Genomic DNA, 22,274 nt, shown 5'->3' with positions numbered 1-22,274 from the left:
GAATATTTCCAGGGTACAGTTGTTTTTGCAAGTATGCTCAGCAATCTTGAAGAGCAGCATTGTTGGAGAAGGCTTAGGTTTTGTTTTTTTGCATTCATGCTAACACAGAAAGAGGAGACTTCATTGTCAAATTTCTCTAAGGAGGGTGGGTGGAGGAGATCACAAAACAAAAACATGACTTCAGAAAGAATACAACGTTATTTTGTTCTCCTTCACATTGTATTGAGTAGCCACATCTGGAAAAGATAGTATTTTCTGCTCATTAAATTTTGTTGAACTTAACTAAGGGTTACAGTCAGTTAAAAGTGTCAACATTTGTTTCTCTCTAACGTAAGTATCTTCTCCAAGCTTGACTCTGGTCAATCTGGTTAATCAGAATTTTTTAATTAAGAAAATAATTACAGAAGTAACAAAGACGACTCAATCAGTGTAGCTAAAAATAAATTTAACTCGCTCATCAATTCTCATCTCTGGAATGTGACTCGGCCTATGGTAAAATGATGCCCTATTTCTTACCACCAATGGGCACTCATGCTTTTGGCACTCCTGAAGATTCTAAAAGCCTTTCAATGTTTTGATCTTATCAGTGATTAAAATTCCATTCCAGTGATCTCATATTTCCTGTCTGTGGGTTGTGTTAGAACCAAAATTCTCTATTAATCTGGGGGGAAAAAAGAAAGAAAAGAAAAGAAACTCACCATGTACCAACCATTGGATTCAACCTGGGTCATGTCATAAGGCTAAGAAAGCACAGCGTGTGTGTGCTGAGGCTTCCTCTAGATGGCGCTCCAAGGCAAAGTTTCTCAGCTGGTTTCCAGAAAAGGGGGAAAAAACCTTACCCACCTTCCTTGAAAGTGCTTCTTTTCTTCTAGCACAGGGAATACTGAGGTACACACCCCACCACAAAATAAATGTTTTTCCTAAAAGAGATAGCAACAAAACCAGTCTGTCGGAAAAGAGCATCTCCCATCAGGATGGGCCTGTTTTATGACTGCCACCTTGCATACCGTGCTGTTAAAGTGAATAATAGTGTTCTCCGTGTGACCTTAAATCTGTGATTGTGTATTTTTCCAAGCCTATTGTCTCTGGGAATGGGGAAATGCATAGTTGTGTGTCACTGCTGAACAAATTTTGGCACCACGTACAACAGGACAAGCAAATTATAAATATATGCCCCAGCTTCCTAACCTTTAACCCTAAAATCACTTCACGGGTGGAAAATAAACTTATTGACTCAGCATTGTGTTTTGCAAAAGTATTCAGGTTCATGTGTAGGTAACAAAGCGGTTTTGTTCCTTTAGAAATTAAAAAAAAAAAGAACTACTGTGTAGGACAGGCAAATTGATATAAAATGATGAACATTTTATTCACTGGGAACCCTGTTAATGACTTATTAATTTGTTCCATGCCTCTGGTCTGAAATTTCACATTTATAAATTTGAAAGCTTCAATGTTATTCTTTGTTTTTAAAAAGATATTTAGATAGTTAAAATTTCCCAAATACTTTGAATTCCTCTGACAAATACAGTAGGTAGTGACAGTTATTATTTGTGGTTAAAATGAGGAAGAAAACCTGCAGATGAATGATCATCATATAAATTTTCTTTACTAATAGAAGTTTATAGAACAAATATTCCATCATGCACATACATAATAAATAAATTATAACTATAAATACATGATAAAAGATGAGGGACATATTTCTTATATTCACGATGTAGACTAGATATCGGAAATGACTCTGCTTTTGTTTGTATTCTGTAAAATAAAAGGCATGTAGTGGTGCCAAGGTTGCAGAGACATTTTTTTCGGTTTTATAAATGATGTATGAGCTCTGACAGATTTTCCAAGGGGAAAAAAAAAGATTTCTTTAAGAGTCAGTATTCTTTACTATCCCATAAATGTACTCATTAGCACTTTGAGCCATGCCCTGCATCCTGTAGGGTATCAATAAAGATTAATTGAATGAGTGAATTTAGTTTAGGGTAATATTATTCAAGGAACCATGTTGCTCAGTGTCCAGTTAAAAAAAGCTATAAAATGGTGAACAACTATTATTGCTTGAAATCTTGTTCTTTCTTCATATCACACTAAGGTTCAGCTAGGGTTCATATAGAATATTATGATCTTGCAGAATTCACTGGATATGAAAAGAGAAGAGCACATGATCACATTAAAATTTATGGTGGTGCAGGCAGCGTGGCGCTGGTGGGGAATTGCAGTTAAACACTAATAATAACCAAGTATCACAGCAAACACATTGACACCCCCTGACATTTACTGGGGGCTTCTTAAATCTTAATGTGGAGGTAGCGTGTTTAAATCCATATTTGTGTTGTCAACAAGGTTATTTTCAGAGATAAGCCAAACCATTTTATTGATAATTCAAACTAGAAAGCAGAAGGGATGTTTAGGGAGAAAATCCATCCTATTTACCAGCTTGAGGCTGATGTTCTGTCCTCTGACTGCAGTTTCCAGAAAAGTCCTTGATTTTTGAGGTAGAAAATTCATTCTGGAAGATCTTAGAAGCACAGCTGAAACTCCTCCCTCCCTGTCCAAGAAATACAGAACCAATTGAAATTTTAAATAAAATATTTTTACTCAATAATCAGAATCCTAATCTCAACAGAAATCAAATTCCTTTGTAGACTGTAACACTGGAAGTTACAGAGAGATCTAGATGTTTTGTTCTGTAACTGACTGAAATAAATTAATAAACAGTAATCATATTTGTAATCATCAAACATCATTTTTACATTGTATTTCCTTATCAAAAAAGTAGTAACTTGTTATATTTACTTTAAAATAAATGGCAGCATTATTGTAATACTATAATAAAATCTACATGATAGAATAACCAACTCTTTAATCTTCATGCAAATGTAACCTACAAGATGGCAAATTTTTAATTTAGAAAAGGAGTAATTTTTAAATGTTTTTGCAGAACATCAGCACCAGACACAATAAATTAACTATGGGGCTAATCAATTTGAATACTGTGTTTAAATTACATTTAAGACTCCTGTCTTTTAATCATTTAAAAAAGGTTTCTATTTTTCTTCTCTCTGACTGCATCTCAGAGCCCCAATTAGGCACTCCATGCTTCCAGCTGACATTGCCTTTATCCACATTTATTTTATAAAAGAAAAAAGGCAAAGCTGCACATAATTAAGAACCTGGTGTGCTAATAACCAAACATACAATTGGGCAGAAGGATAATCCAATCCATTTCCTCTCACAGGAGAGTAACCTCCATAACTCACTTTAAGCGCTGCCATTCATGAGTTATGGGTCATTCCCTTTCTAGTGAAAATAAATTCTCCCGCACCATCAGCCAGAGCTGGGTATTTTTCTTAGGACATGTAAATTGTAAAAGTGTATGAACATAATCATGTCCGACGTTACAGGGAAAGTATAACCTCTTGCTCACGGACATAGGCTTATACGTAAATGTATGTGGTTTCGAGGCTGGGGCTGCCTAGTTACAATATAGGATTTTTGATTAAAGTGAATTTATTCTTGAGATTTTTATGATGTTGGTAAACTGCTTAATCTGTCGCTTTGTGTTTTATGACGCCAGCCAAATCCTCCAGGTCAGGGAGACCCAGCAGCAGAGCCATGGTCATTTATCACAGCCTCCATTTTCCACGGTGTATGATTTCCTAGTGGCACTTTCTTGGGACTGAAACCTGGCACCTAAGGGTGTTAAGTTGGGAGCTATAAAAAGTTTTAAATTTTCATGGGTCTCAAGTTTAGTTTCGGCTGAATTATGGCTAATAAAAATTTGAGCTTTGAAGAAGCCTCAAATTCTTGAAATTCACCAACCTGGGCTCTGTGGCACTTTGAGAGATCTGTCTTTCTACACAATTAATGTGCAGCAAGTGATCTGCTTCATTTTCTGTGGTCATAAACCATATGTTATATTATATGCAGTTCACTGGTAATTTATCAGAAATAAAATATAAATTATATTTCTAAACATGGACAAAACATACCGTCCTTGTCCTCAAAAAAAATCATAAAGCACAAATATTGTTAGGGTTGAAAGCTAAGTCCTTAAGAATCTGATATTTTTCTTTTGGTTCCTTTTAAAATGCATTATATGTGCTATATACATACAGCTATGTTTATTTATTATCTTTTGATGTAGAAACCTCCACTTTCTCAAGTCTTATTATTTAGTTGAAAATTTCCTTATATTATTTGTATATCTTTTTGTACATTTTATCAAAATAAGACAGCAGAAATATATTGAGCAAATTTTATTTGACCACATTAGGACTTCTTGAGAATGAAATAGTGTTGACAGATACCAGAGGTTTGCTTTGAAATACGCTAGCAAACAAAACAAAACAAACACACACTGCATGTGAAGAGACAGATGAAACAAGCCGCAAAACCTGGATTCCTGCTGAAGTTAGGCAATGACTGCACTGGGTTCATTATATTAATGGTATTCTATTTTTTGTATGTTTTTAACTCTCCAAAATAAAGAATTTGAAATTTATGCTAATAAACAGGTTAAAAATTAAGCCTTAGAAGTGGTTATAAATGTAATAGAATATAATAATAAAGTTATATATAAAATTAATCCAATTTTTAAATGTATGCATCAAACATCTACGCAACATATGTAATTGTACTGGACTGTGTTGCCTTTCTGAGACTTACATACACAAGCACTTGCAACCGTAGTTGAGGCTAAAGGGTCAACATATTCCCAAAACATGACTAAGGTTTTATGATTTGATAGTAAGTGCCTTCAGAAGCTTCTGGTTGGGAAAGAAAGTCATTTATATATAGACTGTAAGGTTTTTCCAACTCTGAGCTTGGTAAGGAAAGGACCAGTTAGGCCTAAATCAATAGTTAATTAATGCCAAATCAATATTTGGTTGCATTCATCTTGAAAAGAAAGATAAGCAAATTCAATCAAAACTATCCCGTTCCCATGAATAATTAGACAACCTGCAATTGGCTTGTTACATTGCATACTCTGGTAAAGGAGACATGTGAGTTTGTTGGTCCTAGATGGTGATTCCCTATCAGCTGGAAAGGTTCTGGTCTCTGGACCTCAAAATGGGGCTAAGGTGCCCCCTTTTCTCTTCAGCAGACCCATTTATTGGTAGACAAACTTTACTGTAAATGCCGAGGGAGTATGACCACTAAATCTAGATGCTATAGTTTGCTCAGTAGGGATTTTTTCCCCTCCATTGAAGTTTGTGGTTGCATACCTGTTCTTCCCCTTATGCTTTCATCACACACTGTCTCTGATTGACAAAGGTAAGATCCTTTTTTAAAAAGAAGGTATGCTGCGACATCCAGTAGTATAAATACTCATAAGCACTCCTAGTAAGCAATTGAAATCTGCTTCCACTCCAAAGCTTGAGATAGTCCTCTGCTCAATATTATTGCCTTGGAGCATATAAAACAGTTTGATACCCATTAGGCTGCCCCTAGGATCTATATGTTGAGTGGTTGCCATTCCATCACAAAGCAAATAAAATAGGGTCTCAAAAAGAAGCATACTGGGGTTGCTGTCCATGCACATGGAGCCCTAACATTGCCCTAACAATTCTCTGACCACCGTGATCCACCCATGAGTGGGATATGTGCTGAACTTGGGGGTGATTGAAGGCACCCTTCTTATAGAACCATCAGCTTCCATTAGGAGATGTAAGTTTCACAAGCAGACTCTTCATGTTAAGTATGACCCAGCAGAGCTGGACCAGCCATCAGCATTGCAAATTGGGCCTTTTTTTTTGTTGTTAAGATGATATGAGCATCTTGTTTGTGGCATTTACAATGAAACCTTCAAAGAGCACTTTTTTGGCTGAAATAAATGTGATTTTAATAATGTACCAAACAAAGACCCCAGAGAGTGACCCTGCAACACTCTACGTACCAGAAATTTTAAAATACCAGAAATTAAATGCTTCTTCTGTAAATACTGCCTTTCTGTTCCAAGCTCATAAGGCCTTCAAATTCAAGCCATCTATAGATCAGCAAAGGCACGATGACACAGATTAGGAATATGGTGTGCAGACTCTTCTAGAGGAGGCACCTCCTTGAGAAACCATGTCTCTCCAACCCCTTGGAATTGTCTGAGCCGTACTTTTTCCTCTTCTTTTCCAAAAGAGTGAGAAAGATGAAGAAGAGGAAGAAAGACTCTCCAAAATCTATCATATTGTCCCTCAACCTTAGCCAATCCACCTAGGGCTCTGCTGCAGTGCCTGGACATCAGAATCCATGGTGGAGCATATGGAGCCTACTGTCTTCAGCTTTAGGGTGTCTGCAACCATTAGGAATTTCTAGTACATCATTAGATTCCCTCTGTCTTAGTTTGCCATCTGCTACATCTCAGAATCAACAGGATGAACTCATCAGGAAATCCCTTATCATTCAATACTTCCGATAGTTGGGTTCAAAAAGAAAGGTGAGAGCAGAATTTCTGGCATCATTTTCTCAGATTGCTGAGCCAGGACTGCACACATGGCAAGGGTGTGCAGTCCATGGTGCACCTCCTCCAGAAACCAAGCAGGAGGAGCTGGACATTCCTACCAGTTCTGTCTTCCACAAAGCACAACCAATGTTATGACAGCTTCTCTTTAGAAAACAGTGCTCTGTGGCACTGCTCTGCTGGCTCGAAGGGTAACCAGATTCTATGTGCAGCAAGGGGCGGCTGTCTTCTTCACTGCCCTGTTCCTAGTGCCAGGAAATCAGTAAATAATAAATATTTGTTCAATGAATGAATGGACACTTTTTAGAATATCACTATTTCATTTCAAGCTGGGACAGTTTGATGAAGTGTGGGCTAATTCTTGAAACAAAAAAGAATGTACAAATATACATACACGTGTATAAATATAGATGTTCTTATAAACAAATGTTCTTTATGGAAATTTTAGACACAAAGGAAAAAATTTAAGCCAACTGTAATTCCACTACTGATAATATCTTGATATACATCTTAACAGTCTTTTTCCTATACATATATTTAAACATTTTATAAAGTTGAGATATTACAAACTATTGTATCTTTCTTTTCTCTCCAAACCTCACTTATAAAGCACTGTATATTATCAAGCACATATTGATGTGACAGAGCCATATTTAAACTAAAAATATCCAATGGCTCTGCAGTATCAATCTCTTCCTACTCAAGAATAACGTCCTTCGTGAAATAAAGCACACACCAAGGGATTCTTTACAGCCCTATTATCTAACACTGTATCATCACAATAGGATTTAAAAGCTGTGCAACTGAACCCACACCTCAACTTAGGGGCTGTGTAGCACAGTAAGTAAGAACACAGACTGGGGAGCCAGGCTACCTGGGCTTTTATCCCACCTCTCTTACTTTGTAGTCTTGTAACCTGGTGCCTCAATGTTTTCATCTACAAAATGGGAAGATAAGAACAGTTACCTGTCTCAGAGAGTTCTTGTAAGGATTAAATGAGCTAATGAATGTGAAGTATTTAGGAAAATGCCCGGCATATACTAAGCACTATAAAAGTTAACTGTTGTTGACATTATCCCAGGCCTCTTCTCAAATCTACCCAGTGCTCAATATATAATAGGCACTTAATGACACTTCTTAAATTAGTAAATTGTCTATAGCACCATCTAGTGTTGATATTATGGGTGTTTTTACACCTGTTTGGATTCAACAGAGTCACAAAGTAACAGTCATTTTTCTCTGGCTATGATATTCCCCCATTCACTGGTATCATACAGGATCAACATTAAAATGAGAGTACATCCTGGCTGATTTAAATTTTACATTGGCTAATGATAGAAATTACTGGGTAGTCCAGGAGACCCTGAGAATCAATCTTACTGGCTTGGGTCTTTTGGAGTTCTAGTTATTATATGCCGTAGTGGCTGGGGGTAGGCTTATCCCAGTATACATTTCAGCCCAATGAAGGAATATCATTGGAGGCCTGCTCAGAGGACAGGTGAAAGGCTTTGCTGGAGGGGGTGACATGGGAAATAGGTTTATATGCCCTGGCTGACTCTTTACTTAGATATATTGTATTTACTGCTTATTATTTCTGATACGAACTGTGAGGGAATACAGGTGAGAAGATATATTAACATTAAAGCTCAATAAAACCCATAATGATTGGGTCAGGAGCAGAAAAATATAATTTTATTTGAAAATAAAAGAATAAACCAGAGTCAAGAATGGGGTAAATGCATTAAAATATACTTCCTGCCGCCTCTCTGTTTTCTTTTGAAAGTATATTGTCTTCAGCAGGCAGTTGACTTTTTCTACTCAATATCAGTACGTGCAGGCCTGAATGGATAGCCCTGGGAGGAAGATGGATGAGGGCGGGGGAGGGGCAAAAGGACACTTAGTGGCAGGTGGGCATTTTTCAGGCCTGATGACTCCCAGAAACCATTTACCAGGCAGCTTTAAATCACAGTCAAGAGATAGGTGCTGCTTCAGTAACTCAGGTATCACCGTCGGGAGAGGTAAATATGTTTTGTGTGACTGTGTGTGGGTGCTGTACTTCAGGGATTCTCTACTCCGAGGATCTAGAGATAGGCTCCATAGTCTTTGATATTATAAAATTATAGAAAATGTTCTAGGAAGAGAGTCTAGGGCTCTGTTATGTTCTTAAAAGTATCCATGATACCAGTAGTTTAAGACCAAGATGCTAGATTTCTGGGCAGAGCAGGGGACAGGGACTGTGTGGAACATTTTAGCAAAATATGTTCCATCTTATTATAAAATGGGTGATAACTGATGGCTTAAAAATGGCTGGGGATTTTGATCTCAAATCTATTAGATGGCATTTGATTTTAACTACTGATTAAATTTCTAGTCAAATTACCTTATTTTAACATTATCTCTAACTTACTGCTCTGATTCATCAGCTAATTCTAGTCAATAGCTTTTCCATGGGCAAAGTCTCTCTAAATTTTAGCACAATATCATTGCACAACACTTATTTCTGGAGTATCATAGGTAATTATTTCATACTTGATAGACTTTTCAAGTTTTACCTAGTATTAGCAAGACCAAACTCAACATTTTGAGTTTTAAGATGATAGAGATGACAACAAAATACATTTATCCCCCCTCCCCTTCTCAAAAATCATCCTCAAATAATACGGAGAGAAAGAAATGTACACAAATCCTGCCTTGCATGGACTCATAACACATGAAGGCAGAAAGTGAAGGGAGGATAGTTCATAACTTAGCAGAGAAGAGAAACCCAAGTGTCTTCAGAGGTGAGGGTGTGGAGGAAGGGGTACCCATAAGAAATAATGCTACCCCCAGCACCTAACGAGACTCAGGAACTGGAGGCCTCAGATACCATGAAAATTAGGTGATGTGGAATGAGGGAGTGATGGAAACAATGAGTGCCTAAGTCTCCATCCCCTCTCTGTAGCTGGAGGGCTACTTTTCCCCCTGCCTCTGCCATAACCAGAGTATTTGCCAGAAAAACTGAATCCCAGAGTTGGGTACACAACCTAAAGCAAAGTTAGGATGAGGTGCACACTCAAAATAAGAGGATTAAGTGAAAGCCTACATCCTCACAGGTGGACAGCTACAGTTCTCTTTTCTCAGGATGCCAACACACGTGTTTACACCATTCCCAGGCAACAGATTGGAAAGTCCAGAGAAAATGAGTTTAGATGTTGACATTTGGGCATCTCCAGCAAAAGACCAGCTGGCCACACAGTCACCCCGTGATAAGACACAGCAATCTCCAGGCACCACCCACATACACTGGTGCACAGTGAGTTTTGTGATGCTTTACTCTTAAGAATGAAAAGACCACCAAAGGTTACCAGACAGACACTTGAGAGAAACCACCAAACACAGAGAAAAGAAGGAGTTCAGAGAAAAAAGGCAATACGGGGAACAGAAGAAATTTTCAGAAGAATTATAATCAATATCTTCAGAAAGACAAGAAAAGATCATGCATCCATGGGAGAAGAATAGCATGCTATTATAAGACAAGGAGCAGCAAACAAGAAAATTTTTATAAACTAAACATATTATTATGCCTGGAAAGTAAGAGGAAAGACCTATATAGGAAACAGAAAAGAGGAGATAAGAAAATCAGTACCAGAAGTCCAGTATCCAACTAATTGGAGTTTCATTCAAATAGGGCAGAAAAAAACTCCTGAAGAGAAAATTATTTTAAAAAAAAAAGAAAAGAAAAAAAGATTAGTAAATTTCTTCATTGTGCTGAAGAAATTGATTCTCCAGATTAGGCTTAACACACAAATTGAACGGGGAAAAAAGTTCCAACCCAAAGCATATCTCTGTGAAATTGCTGAACACCAGAAATAAAGAGGAAATTCTAAAAGAAAGAAAATCAAATAACATTCAAAGTATTAGGATTGAGAATGGTATGTTCTTCTCGAAAGCAACTTTGGAAGCTAGAACACAATAGAGCAGGCCTTCAAAATTCTGAGTGAAAATGTTTCAGCCTAGAATTGTGAGGCACACTGAGTACGAGAATAGAATAAAGATGTTTTTTCAGTCATGCAAATCCTCGAAAACAACCAACTCCTCCAGTGTTTAAAAACAGTAAGACCTTTTCTCATGAAGCCCCTGCAGATGTGCTCCTGTAAAATGAGGGAGTAAATGAGGAAAAAGAAAGGCATGGGCTGCAGGAGGTGGGGAACCAGACACAGGAGGGGAAGGAGGAACCCCCTGAATGACGGTGGAGGAAGCTCCGAGGGCTGCTGGCAGCAGAGGAGAGAATCCAGACCAGACCCCAGGGTCAGGCTGCAGGAAGGAGTCCCCAGGACAGGAAGGATCTAGAAACAAGCTGTGACCGTTCTGACCCACTTCAAAATTGCTTTGAGAAGCATTTTGCAGAATTGTGTAGGGTGTGAGAAGACTTAGATGTTTCACAGAAATCCTAACTCCAGGAAACAAGAAAATGTACATTATTAAGGAAACAATCATTGTATACTGGTTGGCTCAGCGGTGAATGATATTTATAGGATGGTAATATAGGAAAGCTCTGTGGATCACATTGGGAGTGTGAGGGGAGGGTGACCATAAACTCACCCGCTGCTAGACGTCGCCAGTGTTCAAGGGCAGATTCTGGTGAAAGGATGCTAGGAGCTTGCTCCCTTCTGCTATGCACTAGCTGGGAGACCCTGGGCATATGACTTAGCCTCTCTGTGACTCAGTTTTCTCATCTATAACTGGGGACAGTAATAGTTTCTACCTAACAGGACTGTTATGAGAACTCCATAAGTTAAATGGCTGTAAAGCTCTTAGAACAATGTATGGTACATAGAAAGGACAATATGAGTACTTGGTGAATAACCAAGTGCTAATAATATGTGCATGCTATATAGAAATATAGTGGGGGGCTGGGCGTAGTGGCTCACGCCTGTAATCCCAGCACTTTGGGAGGCTGAGGCAGGTGGATCACAAGGTCAGTAGATCGAGACCATCCTGGCTAACACAGTGAAACCCCATCTCTACTAAAAATACAAAAAATTAGCTGGGCGTGGTGGCGGGCACCTGTAGTCCCAGCTACTCAGGAGGCTGAGGCAGGAGAATGGCATGAACCTGGGAAGCGGAGCTTGCAGTTAGCCAAGATCGCGCCACTGCACTCCAGCCTGGGCGACAGAGAGAGACTCCGTCTCAAAAAAAAAAAAAAAAAAAAAAAAGAAAAAAGAAAAGAAATATGGTGGGAAAACTACGAATTTAGGTGAAAAAGAAAATAGAAAGTAGTTGCCTTCAGGAATCAAGAAAGGAGAATAATGAGGGACTACTGATTTTTAGTTCTAAGTCTCAGTATAATTTGAATTTTTTTAGTTACTGCAGGTAATAATTTAAGTAAAATAAAATTAACTTAGAAAAACTAACAGCCAACTGCAGATTTTAAAATGAAGGGCATATACAAGCTTTTTTGTTTGTTTGTTTGTTTGTTTGAGATGGAGTCTTGCTCTGTCGCTCAGACTGGAGTGCAGTGGTGCCATACAGGCTCACTGCAACCTCTGTCTCCCGGTTCAAGCGATTCTCCTGCCTCAGCCTCACGAATAGCTGGGATTACAGGCGCGTGCCACCAAGCGAGGCTAATTTTTGTATTTTCAGTAAAGATGGGGTTTTGCCATGTTCATCAGGCTGGTCTCGAATTCCTGACCTCAGTTGATCTACCCACCTCGGCCTCCCAAAGTGCTGGGATTACAATTTTGAGCCACCGTGCCTGGCCGGCATATGCAAGCTTTGACATGGACTATTTCATACTCCCAATTTATTAACATTCCCATTTGCTATACAAATGAAGTTATATGTATTTCTAAATGTAGCAGTGGACCCAAGTCTATTTATTAAAATAAAATTGTCAGCCAGGCGTGGAGGCTCACACCTATAATCCCAGCATTTTGAGAGGCCGAGATGGGTGGATCACCTGATGTCAGGAGTTCGAGCCCAGCCTCACTAATATGGTGAAACCCCATCTCTACTAAAAATGCAAAAATTAGCTGGGCGTGGTGGTGGGTGCCTGTAATCCCAGCTACTGGGGAAGCTGAGGCAGGAGAATCACTTGAACCCAGGAGGCAGAGGTTGCAGTAAGCCGAGATGGTGCCATTGCACTCCAGCCTGGGTGATAGAACAAGACTGTCTCCTAAAAAAAAAATAAAATTGTCAACACAGAAACCTGTTATTCAGTTATTTCTGCAACACAAACATAACCAATTTAAAAACAAAATTTTCATTTTACTAAGAGAAGTGTCTTACAGGTGTGGGCCAGTGATCCTAGATTTGGTGGAAAAAAACACATGAAAAGTGAAGCAATTTGTACCCTAATCCTCCCCCTCCTCCCACTCTCTGATAAAGATTTTAATAAGTAATGAAATGGGAGACTTACAAAGTAAAAGAGGGGGAGATATAAAGGCCTTCGATCAAGAAAATGCATAGACCTGCATTCCCAGAGGTCCACTTCCTCTTCTAAACTAATGAAAGGGCCAGCAGCAACCCAAGAAGCATTGCTGCTGTTGATTACATAATTATGTCAACCTGCTTCTAAAAGAAATCACATCACAGCTGTGCATTTCACCAGCAAGCTACCACAAGATAAGAAAAAAGAATTCCCAGTAATGGATACCCCACTCAATCCTCAGTCTGGGTTGACAATCCTCTGACAAATTCTGGTGTCCATGACATGCACTGCCTTATTATCTGTATGAATTTCATCTGTCTACCAACCTAATATGAATTAGGGTATTTACAAGATAACCTCTAGGATGTCATTGTATAACAATTTGAGTATGTTAAAGTGTCTCCTTTTAATGTTAAAAAAAAAAAAAAAAAGAAGGGTTGTGTTCTCCTTCTGCCTGCTCTCATTTGGGTGGGATCTGGCAGGTGTAGTGTTCACTTTGCAATTCACTGCCCCTTCCTATTCCCCAACCTCCAACCTCCAAACCCTATGCTCATCATTAAAATGTATAATAACAAAACACATTTTGCCCTGGGCCTTTGCTAAACTGTCACTGTCTCTGGATAGTCCAACCTTCTCTCTAAAAAGGGAACAAAATAGTCTGAACTATGTCCCAGTGTGGCAGCGTGGGCTGCTGTGACAGCAAGCTAATTCATCACTGTGGGGACCTTAGGCTGTGCAACTGACCACCCAACTTACTGTTGTCTGAGGGAGTGGCAGTTAATCATCTCCTTAAATGATGTGGGTATGAAAACAGAGTTGACTGTTGCTCAGCACCTAACCTTATCCATCCTCCGTACCCCAGTAGTGACTGTTGCCATTTTCCCCTTCTTCCCAGACTGCTGGGTTTCAAGACATTCTGACCGAGGTGGAAATTTTAGCGGTGATTGTGGGATGCCTGTGTCATGACCTCGACCACAGGGGAACCAACAATGCCTTCCAAGCTAAGTAAGTGTTCTAAACTGTTGTTATTTTAATGCATTTGCCTTTCTGTTCAGAGCCAAAGGTGACGAATGCTAAAGAGTAAAGCATTAATTTCTGGCATCCGAGGCCAAGGCCATGCAGGCTTGGGCGTGCATGTCATGGGGCCCATCCATCTTTATAATTCCCTATTCTTCTTTTAATTGCAGATTTGCCCTTCATGTCATGCTTGTTGATTTGGTCGGTCTCTGTTGACCTTACTCAGATAACAAAGCTTGGATTTTAAAGGGTCTACTTTTTTCCTCCCAGAATATTTGCCTTTATGGCGTTATAAGCTTCTTGGACTTGCTACTCTCAAACTCTGGTGTGAGACTGTTAAAATAAAAGCAGTCTTAGGAAATTTGATGAAGCAAAATATAGTTTTCCTTCTCCAACAGAGTCTCTTCCAGGATTCTTTTGATGTTGGGTATTATATAAACTATAGTAAAATAAAGCCACGTTCAAGGAATATAGTTTTTGCTCCTCCCATTCCCTACTCCCATAGAAAGGTGGAAGAAACAAAGGAATTACAGAAATACAGGGATGTCTGGGCAACTATTTGCCACACACATGATGTGTATAGATAGAATAATCTGTCCCTAAGCAGGTTTTCCTGGTCAAGATAGCTGTTGCTTTGTGGCTCATACTGTGGCCAAGGCCACAGAACTTATGGGTGCTAGAAATAAGACCAAAACCCAGGTCTCCTGACTTGTATATTGAGAGTCTGCCGTTAATGTTTCTTTCACTGTCTGCCTGCAAACAAAAGACAGAGGCTTTCAGAGGCTGGAGAGAAAAGTTTTGGGGTAGGGAAAGTAGAGAAGGCCTCAACGAAGAGGTAAGATTAACTTCAGATGACTGATTTCACAGCCTCTAGAACAAGTCAGCCTCTATTATCTGAAACTTTCACAGTCTGCTCTTTGTCAACAGGTTCTTTTCAGCTCATCATTCTCTTTTTTCCTCCAAACATCTACCCACTAAGACTTCAGGAGTCTTGGACTCTTGTATTTACTCCTGATCTAGCAGATGAATTTCAATTTTGTGCCCTCTGTCCAATCTGTATCCTATAGCCCATCACTTCAGTGCTCTCTTCTCAATATCCTATCATTTCCTGACCAAGTCTCTGTGACATCCACTCTGCAGAAACTCAGTCCTGGTTCAGTCTAACAATTCAGTCTCTTGCTACTCTGCCTAGACTTATAAAAGCTTTAGGAGAAAATGTCACAGTTGTGAGAGTTAGAGACATACCAAATATATATTCCTCCCACTTGGCTGGACGCTAGAACTCGCTGCCAGTCTTTCTGTGTCCCTAGCCAGCCCCATTCCCCATTGCTCTTAGCAGTTTCATATACCAAACTTGTGTCTTCCAAAACCACCTCCTGCTCCCCCGCCTCCCCCGCACCACTCAGCAGATCACCTTGCCTCCTACTTCACGGAGAAAATTGAGGCCATCAATCGAGAATTCTCTCAATTTCCTCCCCTGCCACCTACAAACTTATCTGTCCATCCCCATCCTTCCCTCCTTCCCTCCTATCTCGGTAAGAGGGCTGTCCTTCCCTCGTCCGAGGCTAATCCCTCCACCTCTGCCTTGGACCCTTCCTTGCTTCTCCTCTGGGACTTTGTGCCATCAATCTTCCTCTCCCTCCTGTATCTGCTGTCCCTTTCTGCTGGCTGTCTGCATCCTATTAATAGAAACAGCTCCCCCGCATCTTGAAAAAAGCCTACCCTAATCCCCACTTCACTCTCCAGCTTCAGTTCTATTTCCTTCTTTCCTTCCCAGTCAAGCTTCATGGAAAGCTGTCTGGGTTCACTTCCTTCCCTTCTCCCAACCCCTGTCCTCCCACATGGCTTCCGGTTCCAATCATTGGAGAAACCACCTCAGGAATGACACCCGTGGCCCCCTTTTCTCAAAGCTGTCGGACCTTTTCGTTGTCCTTCTTTCATAATACCTCTTGCCATGAGATATACTTTGTCGCTCCCTCCTTCCTGAAACTCTCTCTTCCTTTATCTCACAGACAAAGGGTTTTCATCCACCTGTACAACCTTGAATCTCCGTTGGTTTCAGGCCTCTGTCCCTCTGCCCCAGCCTTCACTGATGATGCCCTCCCTCTTCCTCTCTCACTCTTCACGATCCTTCAGGCAGGGCCACCAGCCATCTGCTGATGAGCCCTGAATACATTTCTTTGAACCATAATTCCCAGCTTATCTCCAGGCACTTATTCCATTGCTTGAGGAAGACCTCCTCTTCAAAGTCCTACAGTCCCCTCAACCTCAGTCTTTCCCTCCATGCCTCTTTCTTGTATTCTCTACCCCAAGGAATGGCCCCACCAAAAATGCGCCAGTCACCCAGCCTACCCTGCAGCTCCCCTCAAAGCCAGTGCCTCCTCTGCATGCTTACAGCAAGGACTGCTTCTTGGCATGACTCCTGGTTTGCTACAACGAACAGCACGACTCTCCTCCCGAGGCTGCTTGGCACTCCAGAATAATCTTTCTAATTCACAAAGCTGACCAGGTCACTCCCCTGCTTAAAAGCCATCCACATCTCCTGTGGCTTTTAGAATAGTGTTCCAGTTCCTTAGCTTAGCCCCTTCGGGCCCTTTTCATTCGGACTCCTGCCCATTTCCCTGGCCCAGTGCCCACTCGCCGCAGCTCACCCTACTCATGCATCTATGTTCCAGACACAGGGACTCCAAGAAGCACTGGTGGGGTCCTGCTCAGTCACATCTCTCTGCTGCCCAATATGCTGTTTCCCCTGCCTGGCATGCCCTTCTCTCCTTCTTTCCCCAAAACTCCTCTGAAAGCATCACCTTCGTGTTTCTATCCACCCTAATGTACCCCCATGGTCAATTTCCTATGCCCTGGTTGTGCCTTTTCCAAAGTGTGCACTTCATGCCATTTTAATTGCTGACTTGCAGATGTGTCTTCCCTTCTTATTTGGCATGTACAACAGTGCATGGACAGTACTTGGGGGAGCATAATAAACAATAAATGTTTGGTGAATGAACAAAGGATAACTGCATGAGTGGATGAGATATCTTTAACTACAGCACTTTAACAAAGTTTCCTGATTTCTTTAACAGATGCAACCTCTTATAAATTATTATAAAACATTGCTTGTTTGTTTTTAACTTTTATTTTAGGTTTGGGGGTACATGTGAAGGTTTGTTACATAGGTAACCATGTGTAACGGGGGTTTGTTAAATATATATTATTTCATTACCCAGGTATTAAGCCCAGTACCTGATAGTTACCTTTTCTGCTCTTCTCCCTCCTGCCTCAAACAGACCCCAGTATCTATTGTTTTCTTCTTTGTGTTCATAAGTTCTCATCATTTAGCTCCCACTTGTAATTGAGAACATGTAGCGTTTGGTTTTCTGTTCCTGCATTAGTTTGCTAAGGATAATAGCCTTCAGTTCTGTCCATGTTCCTGCAAAAGACATGACCTCATTCTTTTTTATGGGTGCATAGTGTTCCATAGTGTTCCAGGGTGTATATATACCACATTTTTTAAAATTCAATCAAATGTCATTGATGGGCATTTAGGATTCCATGTCTTTGCTATTGTGAATAGAGCTGCAATGAAACATTGTTTTATACATTGTCTTGATGCTGCACTAAACAGCTGGAGCCCATTGTGTACGTTGTGTATGCTTTCATTGTAGGGTCCGATTGCTCCTTGTTTGGAGTTCTTGTGTCTGCACTGCATTACTTTTTTAGGATTCCTCTCTCCCCCAGGCCAATGGTATCATCATCACTGTATCTCCCTCTAGCATGCTCTCTCCAGCCCCCTACCACTCTACCACTTATGCAGAAAGATGGGATAACTGTGTTAGAATTGTGTCTGTAAAACAAGAGTCAGAGCCTTTTCAGTACTTTCAAGAGTGAAGTGCCCAATACTTATACTCAGATACCAATGGCCCCTCCCCAGAGAGAGAGCTGGTGTATGGCGCTGACAGAGGCTGCTCTTCTTGCTAGTTGATCCCTCAGCTGTTGGGACCAACAGTGCACACCTAATCAAAGCTGGACCGATCGGATTTTATCTCACAGGAATTTGGAGTTGGATTACCGTGATATTAAGACAGTTAGCTGCAGGGATCCAAGCTGCAGGCTCATGCAGATTTGGGAGCTGAGGCTGCCATTTGGGAAAAGCTATGATGACCACATACCAAGCGGATGAAAAAAACAAGAAAACCAGTCTACAAAGAGGAGAGAAGGATGGAGCTGATATTCAAAGAGAAGCAGAACGGAGAGACTGTGTAACCTGAGAGAAAGACAGAAAAAAGACAGGCTTGATGCCTGGCTCTCTCCATCCTTGTTCCTATTTCTAGGAGACCCAGCCATGCTTGTGAAAATTGGGCTACTTCAGAGTTCCTGGTATCATTCAATCAGCCTTCCTTTTAGTGAAGCTGGTTGTACTCCACTTCTGTTCTTTGCAACTAACACTTCCTGAGACAATGAGAAGAACTACAGTTTATTTATTGTTTACTGTGTCTTAAGCCCTTACCAACATCAACTCTTTAGAGTTGATATTCTTGTCTCCATTTTACAGGAGGAACTGAGCCTCAGGAAGGTAAGTAAACTTGCCCAAATCCATTCATGTGGTAGACTGGAGCCTGGACCAGGGCTGTCTGTTTTCAGAAGCCATTCTTTAACCACTGTATCACACTCTGGTCCATGACTTTGTGACATCTATTTTGAGTTGTTGAGCTTCCAGTTTATTGGCTGCCTTTCCAGATATGTGAGCTCTTGAACTAAAATATATTTTGACATCCAACAGTTCAAAGACATGAAGCCATAAAAATTATAAAACCAAAGTAAACCTTACTAGCTATGTTTTACACTTCCTCAATTTTACAAAAAAAAACAAAAACCGAGGTCCCCAAATCTCAGGTTGCTTGTATAAGACTGAACAACATTCACACATATGAGGTAGGTATTGAGTCACTAGTACTAGATTTCAGAGAGTTTTTTTGCATCCTCACATCACATGATCAAATCTGCCTATTCCAAGGTAGTGTGATGCGTTTTTCTCAAGACAATTAACTTTGTACGCAGTTTATCAGCTCATGGGATGTCAGGGGCACTGCACCTACCTTATGGAGTCATTTTTGCACTTAGGACACTTAATGCCACCATTACCCAACCTCCGTTAAGATTTCCCTTGACGATGAATGCTGAAAGAGGCTTTTTAGCATCATGGTCAAGGAACTACCTTTTTATTGATTAGAATGAGATTTATTCAGTGAGTGTGCCATTGTTGAGAAAATCCCTTGCAAGAAACCTATCTTCTTTTCTTGTTTTTTATTTCCCAGTAAGTGAGTATTTTCTATATTCAAGATGCTGTGCTAGGAATTGTGGGAGAAATAAAGAGATATAGCAAACATCCCTTCTCTTAAAGTGCTCCCAGTCGAATTCTAGTCTTTGAAGTGATTTGAAAATGGGATTTAAATGCACCAATTATTATGCAGCAAAGTATATGCTACCTTTTTTTCATATATAAGGCTATAAAAAAACAGGAGACATTTAGCAAGGGACAAATTACTATATAAAATGCAAAATGCCTCTACAATAAAAAGTGTGGCTTTCGTTAGAGCACAATTTGATTTATTCTCTTAGCCTTTCTGACAAGTGATCCTTCGCATTTTCATATTTTGTTCTTAATTTTTAAGTATTGGAGTGCATACAATGAATGATCAATAGGTAGAGAGGGCAGCAATACCACAGTGCTTTGAAATTGCTCTGTTCACACCTCTCCCCTGTTTTCTCTAGGGACAGCGTTCCCCACTCATCCTTCTCTCTATTACAGCTGCCCCTGATGATTAAATATCAGTACCAAGCAGCTTTGTAGTATATTCTCCTAGGAGACTTCTTCTATTCATTTCTAGCATAATCTCTTATACTCATTTCTTGGGAATGAAAACCCATCTTGTCGCTTTCGGCCAGGTCCCAGAAGTGAAATACTGGGGCACATTAATCTGCCATGACAGCCTAATCCCATTCCTCACCATCTCCCAACAACTCTCAATTTCCTAATTACCTTTCATAGTTTTCCTTTTTAAAGTTTCCTTTAAGTCACAGCTGCACACTGCCATTCAGTCTCTTTTTCAAAGAATATGCATATCTAGGGAAGTTATGAAGGTACATTTACATTTGCACACATTTTTGGTGCCTGTGCAAAGTGCCAAATGCCTATAGGGAAATTTCCACCTTGACTTTTCTTTTTAATAAGTTTCTCCTCATTGAGCTGCCTATCCAAAATGAAAAGCTTTAGTATGTTAAGATGACCTACCATCAATAATGCACATCATGAATACTTACATGTATAAAGGTATTTGTACTTATGGAATTTGGATTCTCTTCTCTTCCTCTCTCCATACACCCTATGTATATATAATCATATTTTCACAACTAAAGGATGTGTGCCCCAAAGACACTTATATGATGGATATACTTAGCACAAACAATTAAAATGAGGTGTGCTGTTAAAGTCAATTTTTTCCATATGTGATTGATCTCAGGGTTTTTTTTTCATATTTTATGTGAGAAAGTAGAAGCATACCTTTATAAGTGGAAGTGTATTATGTGAGAGACATGACCTCTTTAAAAATGGTTTTACAATCAGCCAGGCACAGTGGCTCATGCCTATAATCCCATCACTTTGGGAGGCCGAGGCGGGCAGATCACAAGGTCAGGAGTTCGAGACCAGCCTGGCCAACATGGTGAAACTTTGCCTTTACTAAAGATACAAAAAATTAGCTAAGCGTGGTGGTGCATGTCTGTAATCCCAGCTACTTGGGAGGCTGAGGCAAGAGAGTCGCTTGAACCCAGGAGGTGGAGGTTGCAGTAAGCCAACATCGCGCCATTGCACTCCAGCCTGGGTGACAGGCGAGATTCCGTCTCAAAAAAAAAGAGGTTTCACAATCAATTAAAAGTAGATAATGCTGCTTGTTATGTTCCCCTCCCACAAAATCACAATGCATTTTCACATATTGCCGCCTCTGGAAAATCCTTACCATAAATAAACAGATTCACTTTTTAAAGCCAGCATTTTCCAAACTTATTTGGCCACGGAACCCTTTTTACTTCTTCTCTTAATGCCATTTAACATTCAGAAGAACTAGTATTCTGTAGAATACTTTTTGATAAAGCTTATCTTCACAGATATGTTTTATTTATTTATTTTTTTTGCCACTTATATCAAGACTGTAGACTTGGCTCTTGGTGGTCCCAGGAAGTTCCCAGTGTGTAACAGCAGATACAGGCAGCATTCCTAATGGGCCTTGGCCTGAGACAAAAGGCACTGAGGGCTTTGGCAGTCTAGAAAATCTGCCAGGGGCCAAATCTAATAGTGTAAATAAGGGATCCATTTGGAAATGGAAGTATTCTTGCTTAGATGGTTTTACTTTAAAAAAACCCCTCAAAGTTGAGTTAGTACCATGCTCCATTCTCTGAGGGCTAAGATGGCACCTTGTTTGCAGAAAAGTGAGCATTTTTAGTGCAAGGTTGATCAGAGAAAAATTCCTGACACAATTATAGGGGATTGTGAGCTTCCTGAAGGTCAGAACATGTCTTATTTCTCTTTGTATTCCACATGCCTGGGGCCTGACATAATAGTTATCAATGCTTATTGGTTGAATGAATGATAGATGAATGAATGAATAACAAAGTCTCCCCACACTTTCATGGCATTAGTCTGGTTCAGTGGCAAAATCTACCTATTTTCTGTGATTGAATCAGTATTGTGTGAGGCTGGGCAGAAAGTAAGATGGAATTACAAAAGAGAACAAAGAGGGAATCTGACGAGGAAGATGGTCAAACCATAGACAGTGGCTGCCTTTGCACAAATACTGGGAGATAGAACACACCAGATCGGAGACATATGGATATGGGAGAGAGGCCTCCATCCTACGCACAGGAAGGAGCAGTGCCTCAGAAGCCATGGTGTATTTGTTAAAAGCTGTTGTTATCGTCCCCATCCCCACTCCCTTAAAGGAGAAAACATTCCTTATTCACCAAAACAAAGAAGATACAGAGTGACTTCTGATCATCTAGCTGATGCAGCTTTTGTGGAGTCTGTTAACCCAACATGAATAAGGGAAGAGATAACATTTTGTATCTTGACTAGATACAAAAGATTCACACTAGTAAGTGAGGTGCATGTGAGCATGGCTGATTCATAGGAATGATCACAGGAATCAGCCTGTGGTTAGCAATGATACTAATAGAATTCTGAATTAGATTTTGAAATCTTCTTTCATTGATAACAATCAGCTTAGTAAAAATGGAGAATCAAATGTCAGAAATGTATGTTATAATTATCATTTTCATTATGTAACAAGAAGCTTAAAAACTTGGATTCAAATCTGGAACTGGTACAAGCTAGCTGTGTGACCT

At 40.0% G+C, this 22,274-nt stretch overlaps 1 protein-coding gene and 1 long non-coding RNA gene across 5 annotated transcripts in view; one reads left to right on the top strand and one right to left on the bottom strand.

Moving 5' to 3' along the window:
* PDE11A (phosphodiesterase 11A) overlaps positions 1–22,274 on the top strand; it is a 485,096-nt gene that overhangs the window by 382,700 nt on the left and 80,122 nt on the right. For all 4 annotated transcript variants that reach the window (NM_001077197.2, NM_016953.4, NM_001077358.2 and 1 more), the window contains one exon: positions 13,762–13,871. In NM_001077197.2, the coding sequence (NP_001070665.1) occupies positions 13,762–13,871 (110 nt within the window). The remainder of the gene's footprint in view (positions 1–13,761; positions 13,872–22,274) is intronic.
* PDE11A-AS1 (PDE11A antisense RNA 1) overlaps positions 2,351–22,274 on the bottom strand; it is a 49,968-nt gene continuing 30,044 nt past the window's right edge. Inside the window, exon 5 of the long non-coding RNA NR_136171.1 lies at positions 2,351–2,551. This is a non-coding gene — a long non-coding RNA (PDE11A antisense RNA 1). The remainder of the gene's footprint in view (positions 2,552–22,274) is intronic.

The sequence above is a fragment of the Homo sapiens genome, chromosome 2 (assembly GCF_000001405.40).
Source record: "Homo sapiens chromosome 2, GRCh38.p14 Primary Assembly".
NCBI classification, from domain to species: domain Eukaryota; kingdom Metazoa; phylum Chordata; class Mammalia; order Primates; family Hominidae; genus Homo; species Homo sapiens.
Note: the sequence above shows the minus strand (reverse complement) of the source record. Positions and strands in the feature narration are given on the sequence as shown.